This window comes from Homo sapiens, chromosome 19, assembly GCF_000001405.40.
Source record: "Homo sapiens chromosome 19, GRCh38.p14 Primary Assembly".
Taxonomy (NCBI): domain Eukaryota; kingdom Metazoa; phylum Chordata; class Mammalia; order Primates; family Hominidae; genus Homo; species Homo sapiens.
This window is the reverse complement of record NC_000019.10, coordinates 32,025,843-32,049,284: the sequence shown is the minus strand read 5'-3', so window position 1 is coordinate 32,049,284 and position 23,442 is coordinate 32,025,843. Positions and strand designations below refer to the sequence as shown.

General features: G+C 44.7%; 2 long non-coding RNA genes across 8 annotated transcripts in view; one reads left to right on the top strand and one right to left on the bottom strand.

Moving 5' to 3' along the window:
* The window catches only part of LINC01837 (long intergenic non-protein coding RNA 1837), a 234,720-nt gene that overhangs the window by 22,815 nt on the left and 188,463 nt on the right, over positions 1-23,442 (top strand). The window lies entirely within an intron of this gene.
* On the bottom strand, positions 386-23,423 carry LINC01533 (long intergenic non-protein coding RNA 1533). 3 transcript variants are annotated; one of them, NR_110675.1, is made up of 5 exons: positions 23,278-23,423; positions 12,190-12,295; positions 11,578-11,731; positions 4,229-4,452; positions 386-507 (listed from the first exon to the last, which is right to left on the bottom strand). It is a non-coding gene; the product is annotated as a long intergenic non-protein coding RNA 1533 (long non-coding RNA). The 3 variants fall into 3 exon arrangements; NR_110673.1 differs by lacking the exons at positions 386-507; positions 4,229-4,452; positions 12,190-12,295 and adding an exon at positions 9,430-9,792 and having other exon boundaries at positions 11,422-11,731; NR_110674.1 differs by lacking the exons at positions 386-507; positions 4,229-4,452; positions 12,190-12,295 and adding an exon at positions 9,430-9,792.

Here is a 23,442-nt window from a genome sequence, read left to right as displayed (position 1 = left end):
TTCTCTTAAATGATTGGAGACTGTTTGCGTGCTGTTACCAACTCGCATGTCTATAAGGAGGGCAGTAAAAGTGAGCTGAGATATTTAGTGACATAAAAAGAACCATGTAGATTTGTGAAAATGTAAAACTGTGATCATGGAAGAGGTTCATGAAGTAATGAGAGAAATGCTTCGTCCCTGGGCTAGTGATTCACTTGTAGCTTCTGTAATTTCATGGATGCTATAAGGATTTGGTTTTTACACATTTTAATTTAGTCCAGAGATGTTCCTATTTTAATTATCCATACACAAGGGCACAGTATCTTTCTACGGTTATTGCTATACGTTACATTTATATATAGCAATAGCAATTTGAAAAAAAAAAAACCCAACAAAATGCTTTCACCTAGATGACCAAAGGGTTATACTCATTTGTTTTAATGACACTATATGGACCTCTGCATTCTTAAACAGGATTTTCAAATACACGAGATGCAAGCACTCACGGATTTGCACGCAAACAGATACCTACCAGAGAATAAAAAAAGAATGTGTCAATGTCTCCCCTTTCATGAAGGATTTGCGGGTACTTTGGTGGCAGTCCCTGAATGGGGTGCCTGGAGCCTCTTGCTTTTCTGTTGAAATCAGAAGGCATTGCATCGGGGAGTTTGAGAGCAAAGGGATTCCCACTGAGCCTCAGTGATCACATTTCAATATCTGGAAATCCATTTGGAGGAATGTGACATTTTAACTATCGTATTGGACTCAGTCTATATGCATTAGCAAGGAACTATGAGATAAAAAAATACAATATAAAAATAAATGCACATACCTAAATATATCTATATCTATGTCTATTTAGTATCTATTTATAAATATATAATATGTATGAAATATATAAAAAGAACAATCTGATGAAAGCACATGCTGACAAAAACTAAAATTTAAATCATCCAGGTCACACACGCTCTGCTGCTGTGAAAGGGTGATTCCCTAATGACCAGGGGGTAATTCTTCCACCTTCCACAGATAACCAGCGAGAGGAAATCGGTCACGTTTAAGCGAATCTCCCACAAGCCCTTCTGCCCTGGGAGGCTGTGGAACATCCCACTGGCTGTGTCAGAGCTGGTCCAGCTTCTCAGGCAGCCCTGCACGGATGCTTGGGGGATCTGCCCAGAGGCAGGGCCCTCGATGTCACAAGCTCAGAGGGTAACTTCTACTAGGAAAGCCTTTGCTCTCTGGCCAGATGACGTGGTCCCACAGCCCAAAGGAAAACATCGTGCAAAAGGTCCCCTAGCCCACCCTGCTCAGGACACTGTGACCTTGGCCTGAGCTTGCTAGTCCTACCTGTTGAATGCTGTGATGCTTGGCTTGGGAGGAAGGAGAGGAATTAAATGGTTTGTGTGAGTGTCCAGGGTCCTTGGAGGGAGGGCTTTTACTAGGGTCGGTCACACAGTGCATATCTGGGATCCCAATCTACCCACAGATGTATTTTGCTTGGTTCACAGATTATTTGAAAGAAATATGAATTTGTTGCCAATATTTAGTAATTGGGGATTTCACATAATTATCTGGAATTCTGGCTTCATTCAAATGTTTGGAAGTGCTGGGAACACTGGATCCTTACCACTGTGCAGAACAATTGATTTCTTTGGATGGTGCAGACCCTCCCGAGGCCTCTGCAGACCCCTACTCCTTGTTATCTGCCTGGTCCTGGAGGACATCTGACTTGCCACTGCAGGTGTTTCTGCAACATTGGTGTCACTGGGGGCCTGTGATCCTTGTTTTCTGGGATAGTTCAGCCACTGCCTTACGCAGCCTTGCCTCCCCTCACTATGTGACCCACTGGGGTTTGTTACAAGTGACAACTGGGCTGCAGAGTGTCAGCTATGTTGCTCGAAGGTGGAATCTTGCATGTGACCCGCTGGGGCAGTGTTCTTCAGCACAGATGCTGAAGAACCCTCTCCTGAGAACACGATCCTCCTAGACGTCTAGAAGGACCACCAGGTGCAGAAAAACCGGTCCTCAGAGGTTGATATGTAAGGGGTTTACTGCGCAGCTTCCTCGCGCTCTGCGACAGCTGGGGTCAACTGTTGAATCCACACACCTGCCTCAGCTAGGAGCGCACTCCTGCGGCATTTAAAGATGCTGTCACCTCTGAAATTGGGACTTGCTGAGGTCTGGGTTCTCACCCTGCTGCGGTTCCCAGTGATTTATTTTTTCTTTTCTTTCTCCCCCAGTAGTGGTAAGATACATGTATCTATTGGTGTGTGTCTGTGTGTTGTGTTCTTGCTAGGCACAGCAGGATGGAGCCCCAGGCCAAGAAAGCTAAGGTGGGGGTCTCCTTTCACTCTATTCTTGTCTGGCATGAGGGAAGTTGCTGCAGGAGTGAGGGTGGTTCTATGCAAGCCTGTCCCCACTGCTGGGACAGAGCTCAACGGCCCTGTTTACTGGCACTCTCCCCCTTCCCCTGTTGGACGAGGAGTTTCTCGAGGACAGGGCCTGTTGTTATTTTCACCTTTGTGTCTAAATGCCTGGGTGGATAGATTCATGGTGAATTGGTTCCATCTTCTTTATGCATCTGGGATGGGAAGTTGCTAAATTAGCATGGTTGCTGCAATACAGCAGGTATGGGAAGTAGTTTTAGAAGCCTGGGCTGGAGGAGGTGAACCAAGAGGGCCCATGGGCCTGCATCGGAACTTTGACTCTGCCACTTCTCAGCCATTTTCTTATCTAAATGAAGGAGGGGCTGGGTGAGTTTTTTAAGGATACTCTGCCTGTTGAACCTCTTTCTTTCCTTTTCTTTTTTTTTTTCTTTTCATTTCTTCTCTCTCTGTCTCTCTTTGAGACAGAGCCTCGCTCTGTCGCCAGTCTGGAGTGCAGTGGCATGATCGCGGCTCACTGTAACCTCCGCCTCCTGGGTTCAAACGAGTCTCCTGCAGCCTCAACCTCCTGGGCTCAAGCGATTCAACCTCCCAAGTAGCTGGGACTACAGGCACCCACCACCATGCCCAGCTAATTTTTTGTATTTTTAGTAGCGACGGGGTTTCACCATGTTGGCTAGGATGGTCTTGATCTCTTGACCTCGTGATCTGCCTGCCTCGGCCTCCCAAAATGCTGGGATTACAGGTGTGAGCCACCGTGCCCTCCCTCCCTCCCCCCTTCCTTCCTTCCTTCCCTCCCTCTCTCCCTTCCGTCCCTCCCTCCATCCCTCCCTCCCTCCTTCCTTCTTTTCTTCCTTCCTTCTTTCCTCTCTTTCTCTTTCTCTCTTTCTCTTCTTCTTTCTTCTTTCTCCCTTCCCTTCCCTTCCCTTCCTTTCCTTTCCTTTCCTTTTCTTTCCTCCCTCTCTCTCTCTTTCTCTCCTCTCTCCCGCTCCCTTTCCTTTTTTCTTTCTTTCTACAGGGTCTCCCTCTGTCATCCAGGTTGGAGTACAGTGGCACACAATCAAATCTCCCTGCAGCCTCAACCTCCTGGGCTCAAGCAATCCTCCTGCCTCAGCCTCCCAAGTAGCTGGGACTACAGACGTGCATCACCACGCCGTGCTATTTTCATTTTTTGGAGAGACAGGTTCTCACTATATTGCCCAGGCTGGTCTTGAACTCTTGGCCTCAAGCCATCCTCCCACCTCGGCCTCCCAAAGCGCTGGGATTACAGGCATGAGGCACCATGCCTGGCCTGAACCTCTTCCTTTCTTTTCTCTCTCCTCTACCTGTGTTGTCTGTCCAACACAACTGCCAGATCTGACCCTGGAACACAGTGTTAATTATCTATTGTTTGATTGGAACACCACTTTTTGTTTTTTGAGATGGAATCTAACTCTGTCACCCAGGCTGGAGTACAGTGGCATGATCTTGGCTCACTGCAACCTCCACCTCCTGGGTTCAAGTGATTCTCCCGCCTCAGCCACCTGAGTAGCTGGGACTACAGGCGCCCACCACCATGCCCGGCTAATTTTTGTATTTTTAGTAGAGACGGGGTTTTGCCATGTTGGCCAGGCTGGTCTCTAACTCCTGACCTCAAGTAATCTGCCCCCTCAGCCTCCCAAAGTGCTGGGATTACAGGCGTGAGCCACCACGCCTGGCCTGGAATACCATTTTCTTAAGGGTCTCTGAGACCTAACCCTGACCTGAGCTGGAGGTACTGTCACGTACCTGTCAGTGGGCAGCAGTACCCGTCAGAAGGCCACAATGCCTTCGTTATCAATAAGAGTTGCCACCCTGAGACAGTGTGCACACCCCTCTTTACCTGCCTTCTCCATGAAGCAGCCATACTTGGGCTCCACTGCAGGTGCTGTTGGTGCTAGGACCTTGCTCCTCTGAGAAGGGGGCTGAAGTTCCCAGAAGCTGAACTTCCAGTTGACAGCTGGCAGGTTGTTGCTGAGATGGTGGTTGCTGGAAAGGTGCATCTGACCCAAGCTGGGTTTGGTTTTACTGGAAATCTGTATTCAAAAGCTCTGGTTTTTGTTCATTGTGTCTAAAGAGACATAAAAATTAATTTAGCATTTGAGACCCCAGTGAGGACAGAGCCTGTCTCATAACAAGCTCAAAAGGATCCCCATTCTGACCACACAAGAAGATTTTGAGTGAGTTTTGAGGGGATACACAGGATAAGGGAACAAAAAGCCCCTCTGGCTTAGGAGGTTAGGGTGGGAGAAGGGTAGATTCCTTAAATATGCCTACAATGCAGCATTTCTTAGAACAAGGAACTGGAAAAAGGACATTACCAGAATGCCTAGGATGAATGAAATGATTCTTAGTTGAAGCTCTTGGAGGAAGGGCATTTTATTTTTTTTCTCATTGTTGAGACTAAAGGCTTGTTCCTATAAAGGTGTCAGAATAGAGGGTGACAAGTGCATCTCCAAGGGCTACAAACTCAGGTGACTGCCCAGGCCAGGCAGGATATATGCGTGGGTGAGCACAGCAAGGCTGGGTGCTCCTTTGCCCACTCTTGTCTGTGCCTGGCTGAACCCTACCAGAAGAGCAGGAAGGGTAGTAACCAAGGGAGAAAGAACAGGCACAGTTAGTGCATCCTTGGAGGCTCACATATATACACATCTCTGCCCTACACATTCTCTGCTACCTCCTCCCCCAAAGCTTTTGCTGCTTAACTATGCCCAAGTTCCCCCGTTCTGTGAGAGCTAAGAATTAACCTTGAGTTGATGTCCTTTTGGGCATCTGTGTTTTCTTGCCGTGTGTTGCCAGAAATTGATGTATATTTGACTCCCCACGTGTCCTACCCCAGTGTACATTGACCAGATTGTAACATCTTTGACGGGGAGGCTGTTTGCCTGCTCCTCCCTGCCATTGTAGCCAGGACTGGGCAATACAGGGAGTATCCACGTATCTTTCTTTGTGGGTGGGCTGGTGAGGTCAATGAATCTCAGAGGTCTTGCAGGCCTAGGGTTCTCATTGCAAAGGCCATCCAAGACAAACAGGTAATTTGTTTTAAGCGTATTGCCCGGAATTCGAAGCAAACGCTGGATCCAAATAGTCTAAAAGGTGGCTGGAGCTTCAGGCTTTCCAAACCCATCTGTAGAGTTATATGATTTACTGAAATACAAGAATGTTCTGCTTTTAGTGCTCAGAGCTCCCAATACCCAGTTATTTGTTTTACACATTTTCCCCATTAGAAATTGAAACATAGCAATTAGAAGCCAACCCAGATTGTTCCGCATTTAGGGGGTTTCACATGTCTACTTGATAATTTTGTATCTGTAGCAGCTTGGGCATAGCAGCCTTAAAGAGCCTTGTTTGGATTGTTGGAATAATGTTTTCCAGTTTAAAGTAACTGCTAGAATGGTAAAAAAAAAAAAAAAGAAGAATAAATGCGTGGCAAAACTCAAGTCTATTAGCCTTGCCGTTCACACCTGTAGTTTCTCTCCATCCAGGTGTGGGGTTAACTCAAGCACCTCGGGTGTATTTGCAGGGATTCTTTAGGAAAAAAGAAAAAAAAAAGAGAGAGAAAAACCCAAGATGCCTAATCAGAAATTACCTTACTGGTAGTAAAACCCAAATTCATGAGAATGTATAAAAATAGATTTCTTTTAAATGCCAGGGAAGAGATTTGGAAGCGTTTTGGCAGATTCGGATGCACGGACCGACCTGCGCCAGGTTCTTCTAACGTTAATAAATATTCATTTTGTTTTTTTGGGGGGGAGTCCAAGTACTAAGCAGAGGGTCCTTGTTGTAGAAGTGAGATCTAGTTCTGCAGCGAGAAATTCGAATTCTTAAATACCAGGTATTCTTTTCTAAAACTGTAACTCTTTCCTCGCAATTCAAACGGTGCAGGGGGACAGCTGCTCCTGGAGATGGATTCAGCCACGGCCTTTTCTTCTCTCGTGCAGCTAAGCCAAGCCAGGTATGAAAACGGTGCTCCCTTCCCCTTCTCAGACATCTTGTTTTTCTTTCTTGGACACACAGAGAAAGCTCCATTAAATATTGATAGTGTTTTGATACATTAAAATCGAGAACAAGTCAGAAATCTTATATACAATATACACAGATGTCATTTTTTTCTGGTTTCGCCATTTTTGACCAAAAGCGTCAATATTTTACAGGAATTTCTTTTCCCTTCAAAGCCTGCAAGAAGTCCACTTCTCACAGAATGCATGTCCAGTTGGTACTGAAACGGTTCCCCCCAACATGTCTGTGGAGATCGCGTTATTAATATTATTTGAAAAATCTACTTACCACTTGTGTTCAATTTAGCAAATTTGGAGCTTGAAAAAAACCCTCAAAATAATTTTCCTTCATCTGGCGGAGAGTAACATTGTTCATAATAAGTAAAAATAAATGTTTTGCCATTCTAAAAATAATTTAAATAAACTAGAATATATATTTCAAACAATATAGTTCATTTAAATTTATTTGAAAGACAAAAAAGGTAAAGAGAGAGAGAGAGAAAGAGAGAGGGAGAGATGGAGAGAGAGACCTCAGTTGCAGCTGTTCCAAAGAGTTCGGGTACAAATGTTCTTTCATTCCTTTGCATGATTTTGATAAAATTAGGTCAAAGAAATGTTCATTTGAAAACAGTGCTTTGTCATATTATCTACAACACATGTCTAGCAAATTTATGAATCCAGCATTCATCTGCGTGAAGTTTCAAATCCTAATGAATGGTTTAGACAGCATTGTCATCAATTTTCCGCAGGTGCAGCTGAGGCAATCAGTCAATTCAATCAAAAGCCTCCGTCAACTTGCGTGGCGCTGTCATTTTTTACATTCGGATTGCTGAAATTAACAAAAACGATCCTCCCTGAATGCCGTTACACTCCTCCCGCCTTTGGGTGGCGCTTTTGAGCAACGCTTTGCCGCTCGCCGTGCTGCAGGATCTCGCAGCATTTTTTTTTAACTTTATACTAACATAATATTTCTTTTGTGATATTATGGAGATAAAATTGCACTGTGTGTTTTAACACACATTACAACAACCTCTTAAGGCAAAAAAGTAAATTCATGCAAATGAGTTATAGAAAGTGAAAAAGATTTCTTGTTCGGTGCGGTGCGCGGTGGGACCCGGCGCTGGGAAACACTCCAATTGCCAGGTTCTGAACTTCCTCGTCCCTTCTCCTGTCAGGCTGTGCAATAGAGTGCAATGCGGGCTCTCAACTTTGGAACTGTTGCTTTAAGATTTAAGAACCAGGCCACCTGGTTGCCTTTATCTTGTGTTTCCTCTGGGTTTACCTTCCACTGCCTTCCAACAGTCTCTGGAAATCTCCGGAGTGGGCTTTACTGGTATCGGGAGAGGCACGTTTTATTGCAACCTGGGTGATGAGAATTCTCTTCCTATCACTGCAAGCTATTGAGCTCCTTCTCCTCAAACGGTTAACAGCAGCTTCAAACCCTGCCACTTACCTTAAAAGAGTTAAAGATCCTAAGAAAGAAAAGCTTTGGCTTTTTAACTCATTGAAAAATAAACTTGTTTCCAAAACTCTGTAGTCTAAGAAGGATTTCAGCAGTGCCAGTGAGGTAAAGAGAAAACTGCAAGAGACACTCTGCATATGGCAAAGATGAACACTCTGTCTTCTGTCTCCCAGGAACACTACCAGGTTCCTTCTAAATCTTTAGAATATATGGACAGACAGAAAGCACTTAGTATCAGTTTCTCCATGATGAATAGAGTTAACCTTTGTAGTTCGCCAAAAGTCAGTAAGTTTTTCTTTCCCATTTGTTTCAGTCCAACGATGAGTAGAAATGCAGGTAGGACCAGATAAACTCACATTGTCTTGGCCTTTTTGCTTAATGACAGCAGCCGACTGCTTACAGCAGCTGGCAAAAGAGAAGTGATAATATTAACTTATTTAAATAATCAGGTTACATGTAGTGACAGACGCACTCAAATTTATTAAAGTCGCTTGAAAAATATTTAGATGCTTTTCCTTTGCAGACATCATGAATGGTCAATTGCCCCAACATTTCTGAGGCCGTGTTAAAAAATACACTTGGTTTCTAGAAGAATGCAAATTCCAAGGAATATAATAAAAATGTTCTTTTAAACAACTAGCTATGTCACTTTGCAAATAGCTTTGATGTAGCATTCCTGCCTGCATAAAGTTGAAGCTACATCTGTGTCAGCCATACCTGAGTTTATGATACCTTCCCTGAGAGAGCAATTAGGGGCTGGTGAGGGCTGGAGTTCTAGCTAATATTTGAAACTACATGTGCGTCTGCAAGCTAAAGGGGAAAAAAGGGCTGTGATCATCTGTGAATAGAGAAAAGAATTCTAACAGCTCCTACCTTTTAGACACTTGATAAAAAATGCGGTTGGGGGGTGCCTGGAGAGTCTCAAGGGAGTGGCTTTTCCGCTGAGAAATGAAGACTGCCACATAGCCGCCAGCCGGGCTTGCTGTAGGAAGCTTACAATTCAGCTCTCTTCGGTGGAGTTTGAAGTTAAATGGTCCTGTCTGCTTCTTCTCTTGTTTGTGTCACTTGTTAAAGATCCCTTGAAATGCACCATTACAGTTTCTTCTTAGTTGATTACAACAGAACTAAACTAGTCATCTTGCATTTCAGCTATCCCTAATTTCTTATAAGGGCCCAAGGAATAGATCTTTTCTTTTTTTTTAATTGCCCAAATATAAAAACATTTGACTTGCTATTACTCTTAATGTAACTGTAGATCTTGTAATAAAAGGTGAAGTGAAATTGAGTGTCCATAAATCAAGCAAATGAATGCACAGAAAAGAACTAACGATACATATAGTCAAAAATACGTGTAGCCTTAAAGGAGATGCTTGGCATTGTGTGTGTGTTTTAATATTATGCTTTTCATTAGGCTGGACTCTGTTTTACAGGGAAGACAAATATTTCCATATTTGAATTTTTCTTTCTCTCTTCCAATCCAAAAGAGAATTTCTTTTGTTGTTGTTGTTGTTAGTTTCTTTCTAAAAGGGAAAGAAATTAACATTGCTTCCCCCCCCATGAATATATGTGGTGAAAAGCTTGCAGGGTGTTTTGATGAAGCATGCAAAATGTTTTATTAATCAGAGTAATAGAGTAGAAATGAAGGCAGTACGTCTTTAAAAGTGCCTGGGTGTCCAGGTACGCGGGGAAATCCGTAAAACCGTTGACCAAGCACAATGTACGTAGACAAATGTCTTCTCATTGCGTGATGCGTGAAGGCCATGATAGATGGCTTCTAACAACAAAGCGTGACCACAGAGACAAAATTAGTGTTGTTTTAATTACCAGTGTCTGTAATGTTATCTATCCATAACTGCCTGAAATAGACCGTCACAGAGGGTCAGAAGGCGACCTGAGCTCATACTTCCACACATAGCTTCCTTATCGGTTCTGGAGTCGTAACAGCAGTGTGCTTAAAAAAAAAAAAAAAAAAGAAAAAGAAGAAAAGAAAAAGTTTAATATTTCACTTGAAACATTTACTTATAACAAAAAAAATTGTTTCTTGTTTAAGGGAAGTGCCTTTATCTTTTTCTTTCAAAGCAGATCTTATTAAATGCTATTTGGAGGTCAGAGTAATGGGCAGAAAATGGGACTGGCCTTGACATTCTTCAATGAAAGTTTACATTCTCGGAGCGGTGTTTTTTGTCAGTCACAAATAGCATTATGACACTAATAGGAAAGAAGGTTCTTTATTTTTGAAACCTCCTTGAGCTGAGACGGGCTGTTCTTCAGACATTTGTAAGTGTGTATATTGTGAAGATGAAGTATCCCTTACTTTCTGAGCTTGCGGGAGATGAAAGATAGGCCAGTTTTTGAAAATGGCCTGCGTGGCACATGCTATAAATGAGCAGGGAAAGCAATCGAGCTAATAGATTACAGTAATTATCCAATCTTTGGCTAGTTTGTATTGGCAAACTATAAATACAGTACACATTAGAACAAGGTGCTTACAGAATGTACATGAAAGGTCATTGTAATTTGCAAGTCGCTAGTCATTAGAATATGCTAAAAACCATTGCTTCAGGGCTCAGATTTTAATGATGAATACATTGATTATTAAGTAGCAGAGGAAAAATGTACAAGAGCGGCTGTGGTGTAATGATAGGTCGCTTTATTTTGGGAAGGAAATCAACTCAGCTTCAGAATGCAGGCATTGAGGAATATAATTGCAGTGAGGAAAATTCCTCAGAGGAGCTTGGCACATATTAAAAGCAAAAACTTGAGACATGTTTGTGATAAGATTACTAATAAATCTCTGGTAAGTCTTAGACTCCTGACAATAATACAGCAACAGAGTACTTCATCTTCTCCAAGCTTTAGAATTTAAGATCAGTCACAAACAATCTAAATTACGACTGATACTAGGCAGATGCAGTACTGGACGATGTTGCTTGTCATAAATCTCTCGTTCCTTATATGCAAATTAAACTCCATTTTAAAAGATAATTTTTCACATGGTGATCGCCTTTATTTGCAAAACGCTGGTGATTTTTAATGGGTAAAGAGAAAAAGCCAGGCTCTACATCCGGGAATGATTTTGTGCAAGAGGGGAGGCAGGAGCCTGTCATCTGGATGCTTAGGGTGGGGCAACTTGACCGGCTTTGGAGAGAAGTTAGGGACCAAGTTGGGTTTAAATACAGCCACACAGTGCCTAGAAGCTGCCTTGGCTGCTGGCTGCAAGGGGGAAGTCCCTGGGTTGCATCTAGGTTGCAAGGCTTTCTGACTTTTATATTGCAGAGTGGTGCGCCTGTTTCTGCTTGTTCTGGGATGGAAGCATTTTGTCTGACAGCCACCCGCCTCCTGCCCTCCTCCTGCCCCCCTCCTGCCCCGTTCTGTCTCTGCTGGGGAGTTCACCCTCTGCCCCTTGAACCTCAGTTCTAGCTGGCTATGGGGCCGAAACCCGGAGTAACTCCTCACATGGCTATCCTGAGTATCTTTTCCAAAAAGAAGTCAACATGGAAATGGCGTATAATCCTGAGTCCTGTGCCAACCGTTAATCACTTTTTTTTTCTTGCGTTTTAAGAGCAAAGCAGCAGCTTACCTCTGGATCCTGATAGAGAGGGAATGGCTTGCTTTTCCTCATCACAGTCTGTACTCATGAAATATTTGTCTCTGAAGCCCTGAATTTTTACTGCAGGGCTGTTGATGGGAAACTTGGAAAGAATAAACAAAAATTTAAAGAGTGGGAAGCACCTGCCTTTTCTGAAATCCATCATTCCGCTATGTCATCCATGGACCTCAAGGTTTATAGGAGATGCTCGGCCTCTTTGTTGAAGCCACAGGGCAGTGAGGCCAGGTGTGTTGAAGGCCTCTCCAGGGCCCCAGAGACAGGGATGCTGGCTGGCATTTATCTGGCAAAAGAGCAAAGCAAAGGGGTTTTCACACCATACTGGGTTCACCAGGGTAGTTTGGGAGCAGGGTGCTTGGGATAGTCTTATTCTATATACACCTCCAAAGAAATATCAGGACCAAGGGGCCATGTGGCCAAGTGTTTTCTGACGAGTAGCAGCACCACCCTGGAAATCTGGGTCCAATCAGAGGTTGGGCAAATTCTTCTTTTCCCCTGGTGCTATCAGGATGGAACTCCTACTGTTTTTCCATTGTTTTCTTGGAAATACATTGGCAGGTCCCAGAAAAGTGTTGGGAAGTCTGTATTTGTGCTTCTCTTTGTCTTTCTGTCGTTCTACCCCCACACCCTGAACATACACACTCTCTCTCTCTCTCCCTCGCTCCCTGTCTCTCCATGTCCTCTCCAAATTAACAAACTTAAAACAAAAACCAAGTGCTTGTTGATCAGTGCTGACAGAACCTGTTCCAGGAGGAAGGGACTAGTGGCTCCTCGGGGGAAGATGCGGCGGGAACCAGGTGGAGCGGCACATCCCTCTGGGTCCTGTGTAGCTAGTCATTTTATCAGCCTGTGCATTAAGGGGCAACACCACAAAAGGGTAAGAGTATAAACATGCTTTACAATTCTCAGCTCCCTAGCATAAGAATACTTCCTGCGTGGATGTAAATTTACAACAGGTGCTTATCAAATGTGAAAACGCTTGCAAATCGGAAACAAACTTAAGGGCGAACATATCTCAGTGACGGCTTTTGCAAGGGCTGTGCTTGATGTTGGGCTATAATGTTGTTCCTCTTTAGTTTCTACGTGAAGTATCTTTCCATGGTTTGCCACAGGGAGAATTATGATGGCTGAGCCTCAGACACTGGTGTGAAGATGCAGATTTGTTTAATGAAATCCGTATTTACCATTGGGTTACAAACACAGCTAATATGCCCTACATTCAAAGGAGAGATCTTCACTCTCAGAACTAATATTTTCATTAATTCTGTCTTTCTACCAGAAGGCAGACATCATCTAACCATCTTTGCAGCGTAACTGCACCTGTGATAGAAATGTTTTTCAACCGTCCCGTTCTCGATGACTAAAATGTGTTGTATTTGTAACATAAGGCAACAGCTTCCTTTCTTGGTTTGCCTGTCCTAAGTGGTGAATTCTCCAGTATAATCGGGCTGTGTGTGTTTTTTCTGAATTGCACTTTTTGTTTTGCAGTTTTAAAATAGTCCCCACCCCTTTGCCCCCCAAATCTTTAAGGTTTGCTTGTAAGATGTACTTGTTGTGCAGGAAGCAATTAGCCTGTTACAGAGATATTAATTAACATGTTGAAAATGTTTTCTTTATTAATGAGAAATTCACACATTCTATTTAAATTAATTTGTATAGTTTAAAATTAATTTATCGTGGCCTTTGATGACCTCAGATCTACGAAGACAAAACTGGAGTATTGTACTAACTGTTAAACCATTCATTAAACATTTTATGCAAATAGTGTTTGTTTATAAACAAATTAACTGCAAGGATTTTCAAAACAGGTGCTGTGTTGTGAATGCGTACTAAATGATGTGGTACTGAAAGAATTAATTAGACCTTCAAATGTAATTAGTTGCAATAATTTGCGTGATTAGCGGCTTGGTTAAGAAGTAAGACACACACATTGTAATGCATGGGAGAGTCACTGCAGTAGCTTTGTTTTTCATATGGTGAGGATGAGTCTTCTCCATGTTTAGGAAATTTTTCAAAAAATTGCTGACATAGCTGCAGTTAATTGCCAAGTATCCTGTGGGGGGTAATGTTGTTGTTGTGGTCTTTTTTTTTCCTCTTTCTCCCTTGGCTTCTTGCAATGCATAGCCACTGGATGCAATGCTGTTTATTTGCACCTTTATGAATTTTTAAAAGAGAAAGTTGTTAACCCCAGATCTTTTCATCCCCAGAGGATATGACAATGCTTAACACTTTGAGGGTTAAAAGACAGTACACAATTATTATAAGCCAAATGAAACATGTCCTGCATTTCAAGAGCGGCTGTTATCGCTCAGGGAATAGCGGCAGTCATTTTTTTCTTGACGTTGCAGTGTCTTTTCTGTTCTTTCAGAAGATGGGCCGCCACTGTGAACAGTTTAGTCTGATGGGCCATGGAAACTGGTACTTGTCACTGCCGATGGCTTGTTTACATGAGGCTGGTATTCTAGAGGCAAGGCCGTTGAGATCCCTGGGGCCAAAGCTTTCAGATGGATTTATTCTCTAGGGCCATGTTGCTGTGAGATGGCGCTCAACGACTTAGGGACCCTCAGATCTCTAACCTCTATGCTGAGACCTTCCATAGTACTGTCCTGCTTTGAAGGATCCTGGTAAATAATAGACCAGAGTGATTTCATTTCTTCATTTGTTCAGAAATATTCATTGGGTGCTCACGAGGCACCAAGGCCCTGTTTTAGGCTCCAGGGGGATGCGGTAGTGACTCATACAGATGATGTCCTTTTCTCATGCAGCTTCATTGGGTGCAAAGGCAAAAAAGCAGATGCCAAATCTCAGACAATTTCAGCCATGAAGAAATAGGAACTTGGCTGATTTCTCCTTATTCAAGTGCACGATTCCTGTTGAAGCATCTCTGAACAACTGTCACTCTTGTGCCCTCACTGGGCAATAGTGACATCCTATACTGAAGAAGACGGGATAGAGGAAGTGGTAGTTGGTTAAGGGGTGAGCCAGAGTTCTAAAATAAACCTGTTGTGTGCCTGTGCCTGTGTGTGTGTGTGTGTGATGTATCCTGCTGCTCCTGAAACCTACTAAATGACAGAAAGACTTGAAATACATGGTTTCACTGGTTTCACATTTTAGGAAGGCTCTTTTACCCAGGGGAAGAGTTGAATTATCTCGTCCCTTCCCTACCACACTGAATGACCTTGGGCAGGGCTGGGGTGAAATCTGATTTCCCTTCCAGCTCTAGACATCAAGGATTCTACTCTCGGCCTTGGAGAGGTTGAGGATCTAGAGAAAAAAAAACTTGTGAGTTTCCTTAAGACCACAGCTTTCCCTCCTCTGAATTTCTTGGCGGTGTTTGATTCGGTTCATCCTCATTTTCAGCTGGTGTTTGCAAAGCAGTCTTTAAAATAGGCCCTTTTTGGATGATGTTTGAACTTGAACAAAATTAACATTTGCGTGTCATCAGTAGCTGCAGTGCATCATTCTGGGCAGTGAAGGATGAAAAGTCAAGAATGTGGGCCGCTTGATTAAAATGAACAATCCAGGAAAGTTCGGAAAGATGGATATGTAGAGCTGGCCTGCTAATTTATGTGGACTCGATTCCAATTGCAAAGGAACATTTTTTTTCCCTTTGAAACTTTTAAGAAATCAGGTTTTAAAGCTGAACTGATGCACCACTCAACTTAAAATAGAAGAGAATTTGATTTTATGTGGTGCCTTTCACATTCCTGAACTCTATATAATATCACACATCAGAGCTCCTGGCTGCAGGGTGGCTGGGAGGCAGGGCTAGGTTGAACGATTCCTAAGAAAAGGATGAACAACCATTCCCTTTGCAACACTTGGAAAGAGCTTCCTGTGGGTTTTTAAAGCCTCTCTCTTCAGGGCCTTTGCACGTTTTCTCCCTCCTTGGACTGTGAACATGGAGCAAATATTTACAGGGGTCTTAGGAGCTCTGTGCACAAATTGTCCTCTGTGTGCAAACACCATCCTAAATATTTACTGGGACCTTAGCACCTCTGCCCACAAATTGTCCTCTGCATGCAAATACCATCCCGTCCTAGAAGATTCAACTAGAATGTTGTTTCCTACTCCCCAAGGCAACATTAATAGTTCCTTTCTCTGAAGTAACCTGTACAGTAGTATTATCAATTATTGGGCTTGGTTGTGTGTGTCCTTGGGAAAATGACTGCCCTTGACTGAGCCTCACCTGCACGTTGGAGCCATGCATAGGATTGCCTGAAGGTAGAGGGAGAAAGCTCAAACTAAATGCCCAGCCTGCAGGCTCTTGATAAAAGTCAACATACCCTCTTGCTTCCTCTACCCTTGCATGGGGAGGAGTGCTGATGAACAGACAATAGGCAAATGAAACCCATCTCCCTGCCCACAGGCTATAAGAGGACTGGAGACAAGTCATGGATGGTCCCATATGTCAGATATTCTTGAGTTCCCAACTGATTGCAATAGTTACTGCCTTTTGAGAACAGACACATTGTTCACATGCTACCGAGCAAGACCCAAATAGAGACCTAGCTGTTCTCCTTACTGGTGTATGTAAGACTTCTCTTATGAGCCTCAGTTTCCCCAGTTGTGGAATGAGCAGTTCTGGTGCATTAGGGCTCCTTTCCACACTGATACTTTAGGAACCTGTATTTGGTTTTGAAATAATTATAGAATCAGGAGATAAATTAGACCAAGTTATTTCCTCTGCCCTTATGATCTCTTTCGTTTTTTTTTACACATTTATTTTGAGCTATATTCTTTCTCTCTCTCCCTCCAGTGTGATATATGAAAAAACAGACTTTAAAATGGACCTTGTAGAATAATATTTGGATTAGAACAGAATGCTATTCAAATATGCATTCAGTTGATTTCTGCTTAAGCATGTTTTGGGTAAAAAAGTTAAAAATGGGGAGATTCCCTTAGACTTAGGGAGCTGGAGCTGGAGCTAAGTTGCAATGAAGGAGGAAGTGGCTATAAAGAGGAATCTAGGGTATCTCTTAGGGCCTCACTACCCTGGACACAGAAATGGTGGCTCTGTGGTAGAGGGCTCGAGCAATGTTAAAAATGAGGAAATAATCTGAACAACCACAATGATTAATACAACACTCGTCTTCAAAGAGCCATGAGATCTTTAGTATCTACAAAATATATGAGGCTTCAGTTGAAGTTTTTATCAGAGAGATGCAGCTGGGGTTTTATTTCATCTTCACTCAGCTGAAGGCAACCTTGAGGGCGGATGGAAGGGGGTTGAGGTGGGCGGGGAGAGGTCTGAAGACAGAGAAGCAATATCCCTGCATAGGCACTTCGGGAAGCTTGGTGTTCTGTGTTGGCATACAGAAAAGTACAACAGGGGGCTTGTTTGGTATCAGATACAGCTGGCTTGAATGGTGTCAGTCCTAGGTGTCACTCTCTCCTCTACCACTTACTTGACTGGGTGACCTCTCCCTCCGTCAGTTTCCTCCTTGTTTTTTTTTTTTTTTTTTTTTTTTTTTTTTTGAGAAGAAGTCTCCCTCTGTCACCCAGACTGGAGTGCAGTGGTGTGATCTGGGCTCACTGCAACCTCAGCCTCCCAGGTTCAAGCTATTCTCCTGCCTCAACCTCCCCAGTAGCTGGGATTACAGGCACTTGCCACCACGCCTGGTTAATTTTTGTATTTTTAGTAGAGACAGGGTTTCACCATGTTGGCCAGGCTGGTCTCAAACTCCTGACCTCAGGTGATCCGCCTGCCTTGGCTTCCCAAAGTGTTGGGATTACAGGTGTGAGCCACCACCCTTGGCCAATTTCCTCCTTCTAATACTGGTAATCTGTAAGCCCTACTGTGCAGGGTTTTTCTGAGGACTAGAAAGAACCTAGGGCAGGGTCCTATGCATAAGCGAAAGTCACCTGAACACTTATTTGAACAGCATTCTGTCCTAATAGCATTCTGTCCTAGACAGTGCTTGCAGAGAACAGACACTCAACAAGTGTATGTGAATATGCATAGTAACGTTATTCCCTCAGGTTTTCATGTGCACATTTCAGTTTGGGGCCTGTCCCTTCCCTGTTTTCTCTCTCCACTCTGTTTTGAAGAGCTCGTTGCTTTGCGAGGAGCGTTGATGGACTGTGTCATGTTGTAGGTTCCAGCCTGAACATCTCCAAGTAACAATTTTGGAAGCACAGACACACAAACACACACAAAGAAGTTAGAGGTGTGAGAAGACTAGCATTGGAGAGAGGCTCAAAGAAGAGGCCGTGTCATCCGATTCGTGTAGGAATTCACTGATCTCGGCTCCAGGAGGGACTTAGGGTCAGCATTCCTTGGTTTGGTCAGTTTCCCTGGAAGGTAAGAGGTGAACCCATCCAGGGCAGTGCCATTGCCAAGCAGTGTGTTTTTACTTGGAAATTCCTTTCCACATCTGAGGCACAGTGATGACTTATCTGACTTTCGCTTTTCAACTCATTTCCTCTGGGGCAATTCTCTCTGGAGCCCGTGCCCAGATGTTTTGTTTTGTTTTGTTTTTTCACCATTGGCAAGATGGAAGGGATGCTGGAGAAAAAGTTTCTCCAGTTCCCAAGCATCAGCAAATTCGAGTGAGCGTCCAAAGGTAATTGTATTAGTCAACATACTAGTCTTACTCTAATGGTCTTACAAGCCCCAATGATAAAGTGTGTATGTTCCAATGATTATAGGAATTTTATTTTCATCTGGTTTTTATATTGCTATAAATATTTTGCATTTACCAAATAAAGTGGTTGCTATGTAGAGATCATAACTTCTGGGACCTAAATTTGCTTCAGATGATAGGCAAATTATAGAGTACAATATGTGATCAAACAGCAGTATGGAAAACTTAAATAGAGTGAGCCCTGAGGACGAAGGCTGCTTAAAACTATGGGGGATGGAATAAATGGGAGTTTTAGCAAAGCTATCGCTGATTCCAGCAGATAAATTATGCTCTGCCTTTTTGTATCTCTTTGGGACTGTACTACATAAATTATGACCAAATATAATTTAGGCTATCAGCCTATATTTCTGAACATCCATCTTGTACATTTTAAGTACAAAATTACCATTTTGCAGAAGTATAAAATTGAGACAAATTTTTTTCCATCTGTGCGTTTAACTTCTGCATACTTTATAGCAGCTAACGGGTTCGAGAGGACCTCATTACCATCCGGAGGGGACATTAGCCCCGCGACTATATAACTGTATTAAGATCTACATAAATGGGAATAAAGTTCGAGGGACAGTGGAATGTGGAATTATATATTCTTTCTTAAATGGAGATGTAACTTTTACATAAAACTGCTCGTCGCTGCTTTTCTGAATAAGAGTCACTGTTTATACATTCAAACTTCCTGATGGAGGAGGCTGTGTTTAGGAAAACTCCTTTCAAAACATGCAGAAAAGGGCAGGCTTTTGGTGGCAAAGGGGACCTTCCAGAGATCCCTCGGCCATTGGAGCGAAGATCCAGTCTTGAACTCTGGCGTGGCCCACAGAGATGAGAGTGACTTCTTGGAGCCTCATTCTACTGCCCCTCAAGCACCACCTCCTCAGATTTCTGAGTGATATGAGTGGGCAAGTCAGACAGGCCCTGTGCCCACCCATCAGGGATGAGGCTCCCTCCAATGACTTCACCTCACCGGCTTCTCGGGAGGCCTGGGTCTGGGTCGGGGACTGCACTGGACTATGAAGCAATGAGAACGGGCAGGGATTTGGGGGACGGGGGACCAAGTTCACTTCCCCTGACAATTGCAGGTCTTCTGAGGGTGCTTGGCAAACCTTTGGCCAGGGACTGGGGCAGCCCAGGTTTCTTCCATGCAGACCTAGGTTTCTTCACAACTCAGGGTAACATTGCTCTGACAACAGTTGTTGCATCTGAGGACAAGTTTTCTACTTTTGAGCTTGCAGGGATGTTTGAGCTGGAATGGAGACTCATTCATAGCATGGTGTAGTGGGAAATGCAGGTGGCAGGGGGATGTTAGGACTTTGCACCCTTTGTGCCAAGTGGACAGCACCGTATAATCCTCACCTCATGTCCGTCACTCCTTTATAGACAGCAGATCTTAGAGAATTTCTCCCCTTAATCTTCTTTTGCTTCTGTATATGATTCATTTTCCCCTCTCCCTTAAACTGGTTTTTTTTTTCTTTTTCCTATGTCTTTTCTCTGCTGCTGGGTGTGTGTCTTTTCCCTTTCATTTCGTCTGTTTTTCTGCCTCTCTTCTTTCTTACCTTCCCCTGATGGCCAAATTGTAGAATGAACATATATTTCAGCCAAACAAGGTGGCTCGTTGGTCTATTTGATGTGAGGTGTTGCAAGCTTAGTCCCTCAAGAGGCTGGAGTCCAAGTGGAGAGAGGCTGACCAGGTGCACAGATAACAGACAGTCAGGGCTACCATCTAGCCGGAGGTCTGGGCATCAGTCACTGCTGTGAAATGTTCGGAGACACGAGTGATGATACCAGACACAGATAGGAGTTATCGCACAGGTCAAATCAAATCAGACTATAGAGAAAGAAGGGCTTATGAAGAGACAGGTGCCTGTCTCTGCTCTACAGGAGTGGCTTGGGAAGGACGGAAGTCCCAGCTCTGTTTGGTAGTTGAGTACACTGCTTAAAAAGGCATCAAAAGGAATTTCTTTCTTGGGTAAGGTCTGGTCATGTTTACAATGGAAGATCCTCTCTTTTCTGAGACAAAGTTTCACTCTGTCACCTAGGCTGGAGTGTAGTGGCTGCAGTGGTGCGATCTCAGCTCACTGCAACCTCTGCTTCCTGGGTTCAAGCAATTCTTATGCCTCAGCCTCCTGAGTAGCTGGGATTATAGGCATGTGCCATCATATCTGGTAAATTTTTGTATTTTTAGTAGAGATGGGGTTTTGCCATGTTGGGTAGGCTGGTCTTGAGCTCGTGGCCTTAAGTGATCCACCCACCTCAGCCTCCCAAAATGCTGGGATTACAGACATGAGCCATTGCACCCAGCTACAGATTTCTCATTTTTTATAGGAGAAAAACTCACAGGGGTACCTGGGGGACTGTATCAAGGGTTGGCTCTCCTGAAAGGGCTCAGAGCTCACTGTGGGCTTGACAGTGTCTTGTGTTCCCCAAATTCACGGAAAATGCATCCAGCAGGGGAACCTCGGCTCTCTCCATCATTGAGGAAGTGGCTGGCAAAGGAGGCGACAAGAGGCAGAACCCACTGAGACCTGGGAACCAGGGTCTATCAAGTCCAGGTATCCGAGCCTCGGACAGGGGATGTCCACTCAATCATCCCCTCATTAGCTATTCAGTCAATATTTATTGAGGACCTACTATGAGCCAGTCAGGTTCTACTTCAGTGGCTAAGATACACCTATACCTTGCAGACCACCAGATAACAAGCAAGAAATGTAATACATAAATTAAAAAACCTCTAGTTGGTGATAACTAGAAGATTAGCATTGGAGAGAAGCTCAAAGAAGAGGCCACGTCATCTGATCCATGTAGGAATTCACTGATCTTGGCTCCAGGAGGGACTTAGGGTCAGCATTTCTTGGTTTGGTCAGTTTCCCTGGAAGGTAAGTTTGAGACTTTCTTCAAAAAACAGAACAGAGGCATCATTTAGAAAGTGCCTTGAGTTGGCGGCTGCACTGGAATGAGTGGTGGGAAGTCCACTCTGAGGCGGTGACTCCTGGGCTAAAGCCTGTTGGATGAGAAGGAGCCTGTCATGGATGGGGGATCAGCAGAGGGGACCACATCGGGACTGCCAGGGTGAGGATTGTGAAGACACTACCCCTACTGGCTCCGTCATCCTCTGGGCTCACTCATGACAGCTCTGAGGGTAACCACAGGAGAACCTTGAGTCAACCTGGTGAGAAGTCAGGGTGGGATTGTAGTAAATGTCCAATAGATAAGCATCCTGAGCTTCGGAAGAGCTGGTCACTGTCCCAAGGTCACGCAGTGAGTGAGTGACAGAGTGGGCATCTGAAAGGCGGCTTCCCGGTTAGACTTCCTCCCCCTGTTCCTTCTGCATTTTCAGGTCCAGATGGAGTATCCAGGAGGTGCTGCCATGAGAGGCATGTGCTGTGTGTCATTTCCTGTTCATGACCTTGTAAACCATGGGCAGCAGTTTTGAGAGTTAAAGAAACATCAAACCCGCTTGAGGAGGGTGCTTCTTCCCAGTGGCTGCCTACCGCCACTCCCCCACGCTGTGACATTTCACACAGTAAGGGCTGCCTCATTTCTAGTGAGGTGAATGTGGATGGGGATCCTGCCCTGTGGGCCGGGGTGCAACCACCCTATGGCTCAAGCATGCCCATAAGTCCCCCACAAACAGTGAGCCCAGAAGAGCTGGGGGCTGGCTCTGTCCATTCATCAACACTCAACTGCTCTCTTCATCCAGAGCTAGGGTTCAGAACAGGTGCAGGTGGAGATCGGCTTTGAGCAAGGACAGATGGACACCACCACACACTATCACTGACTCCGTTCCATCCCCCAAAGCCCAAGGGCACACCTTTGGCAGAGCCTGTGTTATCAGAGCTGAGACCAACTCTCACCACCTGCAGGTGCTGGGGAAACTACCCATTCATTTGCCGAGAGAAACACAACCATCCTGACATGGAAGTGCACCCATTGGCCTTATCAGTACTCTTTATTCTTGTGATGGATCACCCCAGGAAGCCAGGCTGTAATCCGAAACCACACTATCAAATCACCTTGGGGAGCAAGAGAGTGGGCCCTTGTCATGAACATATTCTTTTGCCGAAGGCAACTGGAGATATCCAGCCAGTTTGGAGCTAAGCCAAAATCTTTGGGAAGAGCTTGAGTTAGCACCTGGGGTGGCAGGTAAAGCTATGGCAGAGGAAAACGGGGCAGGTTGTCAGTGGAAGCCTGGGGACCACCACCAACCAGGGACAGGTCAAGAACGAGGGAGCCATGGGTGGAAATGAGCTGGAGTGGTCATGGAGGAAGGAAGAAAACCCGAGGCCAAGGGGGTAGATAGTTTCAAGATGGCAGGAGTGTTCAGTGGTGATGAACACAGCAGAGATGTTCAGCCACACAAGGACTGAGGAGTGGGTGTCTGAGATCTGCCTATGGGAAGGTCACTGATGACTGGACTGAGTGAGAGGGAGGAGGTCATCATGTTAAGGGTGGTTAGTTTGTTGGTTTATGGTAGGAGTGCTTTAGCTGTTGGTGGTGGGGAGAACAGAGTGGAGGAGACAGAGGACCATGGGCAACAGGAAAGAGCAAGGAGGGAAGGTTGGTCTTCAGTGGCTGGTGAGACTGGCAGGAAGGCGTCGCCATGAATGTTGCTAAATTTGTAGGTGGAAGGATGAGGTCACAAGAGCACTGGGAGGAATGAAAGAGGAAGCTGAAAACAGAGGCAGAAAGCCCTGATGGAGGGACCTAGGGTGCAGTGGAGATGGGGGCCCACATGCAGTGCTACACAGTGGCGAGATTCTTACCATTAGCTCCCAGCCACATGGGTGGGAGGAGGAGGGGTGAGCAGGGCGCAATCTCTGTAGGTTTAAGGACAAGGAAGAGATGTGGGATAACTGAGTGCCCAGCTGAGACCAGTGTGTTCTTATGAACCAGTGTGGGTTCTGGGCTGCATGGGAGGGAGGAGCTGCCAGGAGGGACTGATGCAAGGGGCAAGGGGCTGGCATCACTGTTCTGCAGGTCTCTGGGAAGAAAACCAGGTGTCTGAAGACTGGCAGGAAAGGCGGCTGTGGTCGAGGGGCGGACATGGGGATGTTAGAGTTCTGAGACCCGTCCCTCCACCCTGTGGTGACGACACTATTCTGGGACAATGCTGGGCGAGGGTGGCTGAAGTGGAAGAGCTCGCAGGCTCGAATCCTGGCTTTCTTGCATGAGATTGAGCGAGATACTTCACCTCTTTAGGCTTCCCCTGCAAATGGCGGTAATGATGGTGCTTCCATAATACGGCGTGTTACCATATGGCAAAGCAGAAGCAAGTTGGAGCCTGGAAGAAATGACCCATGTGGTGTCTTAGGCCAGGGCAATGCTTAATAAATGATTGCCACTATCGTCATCGTTG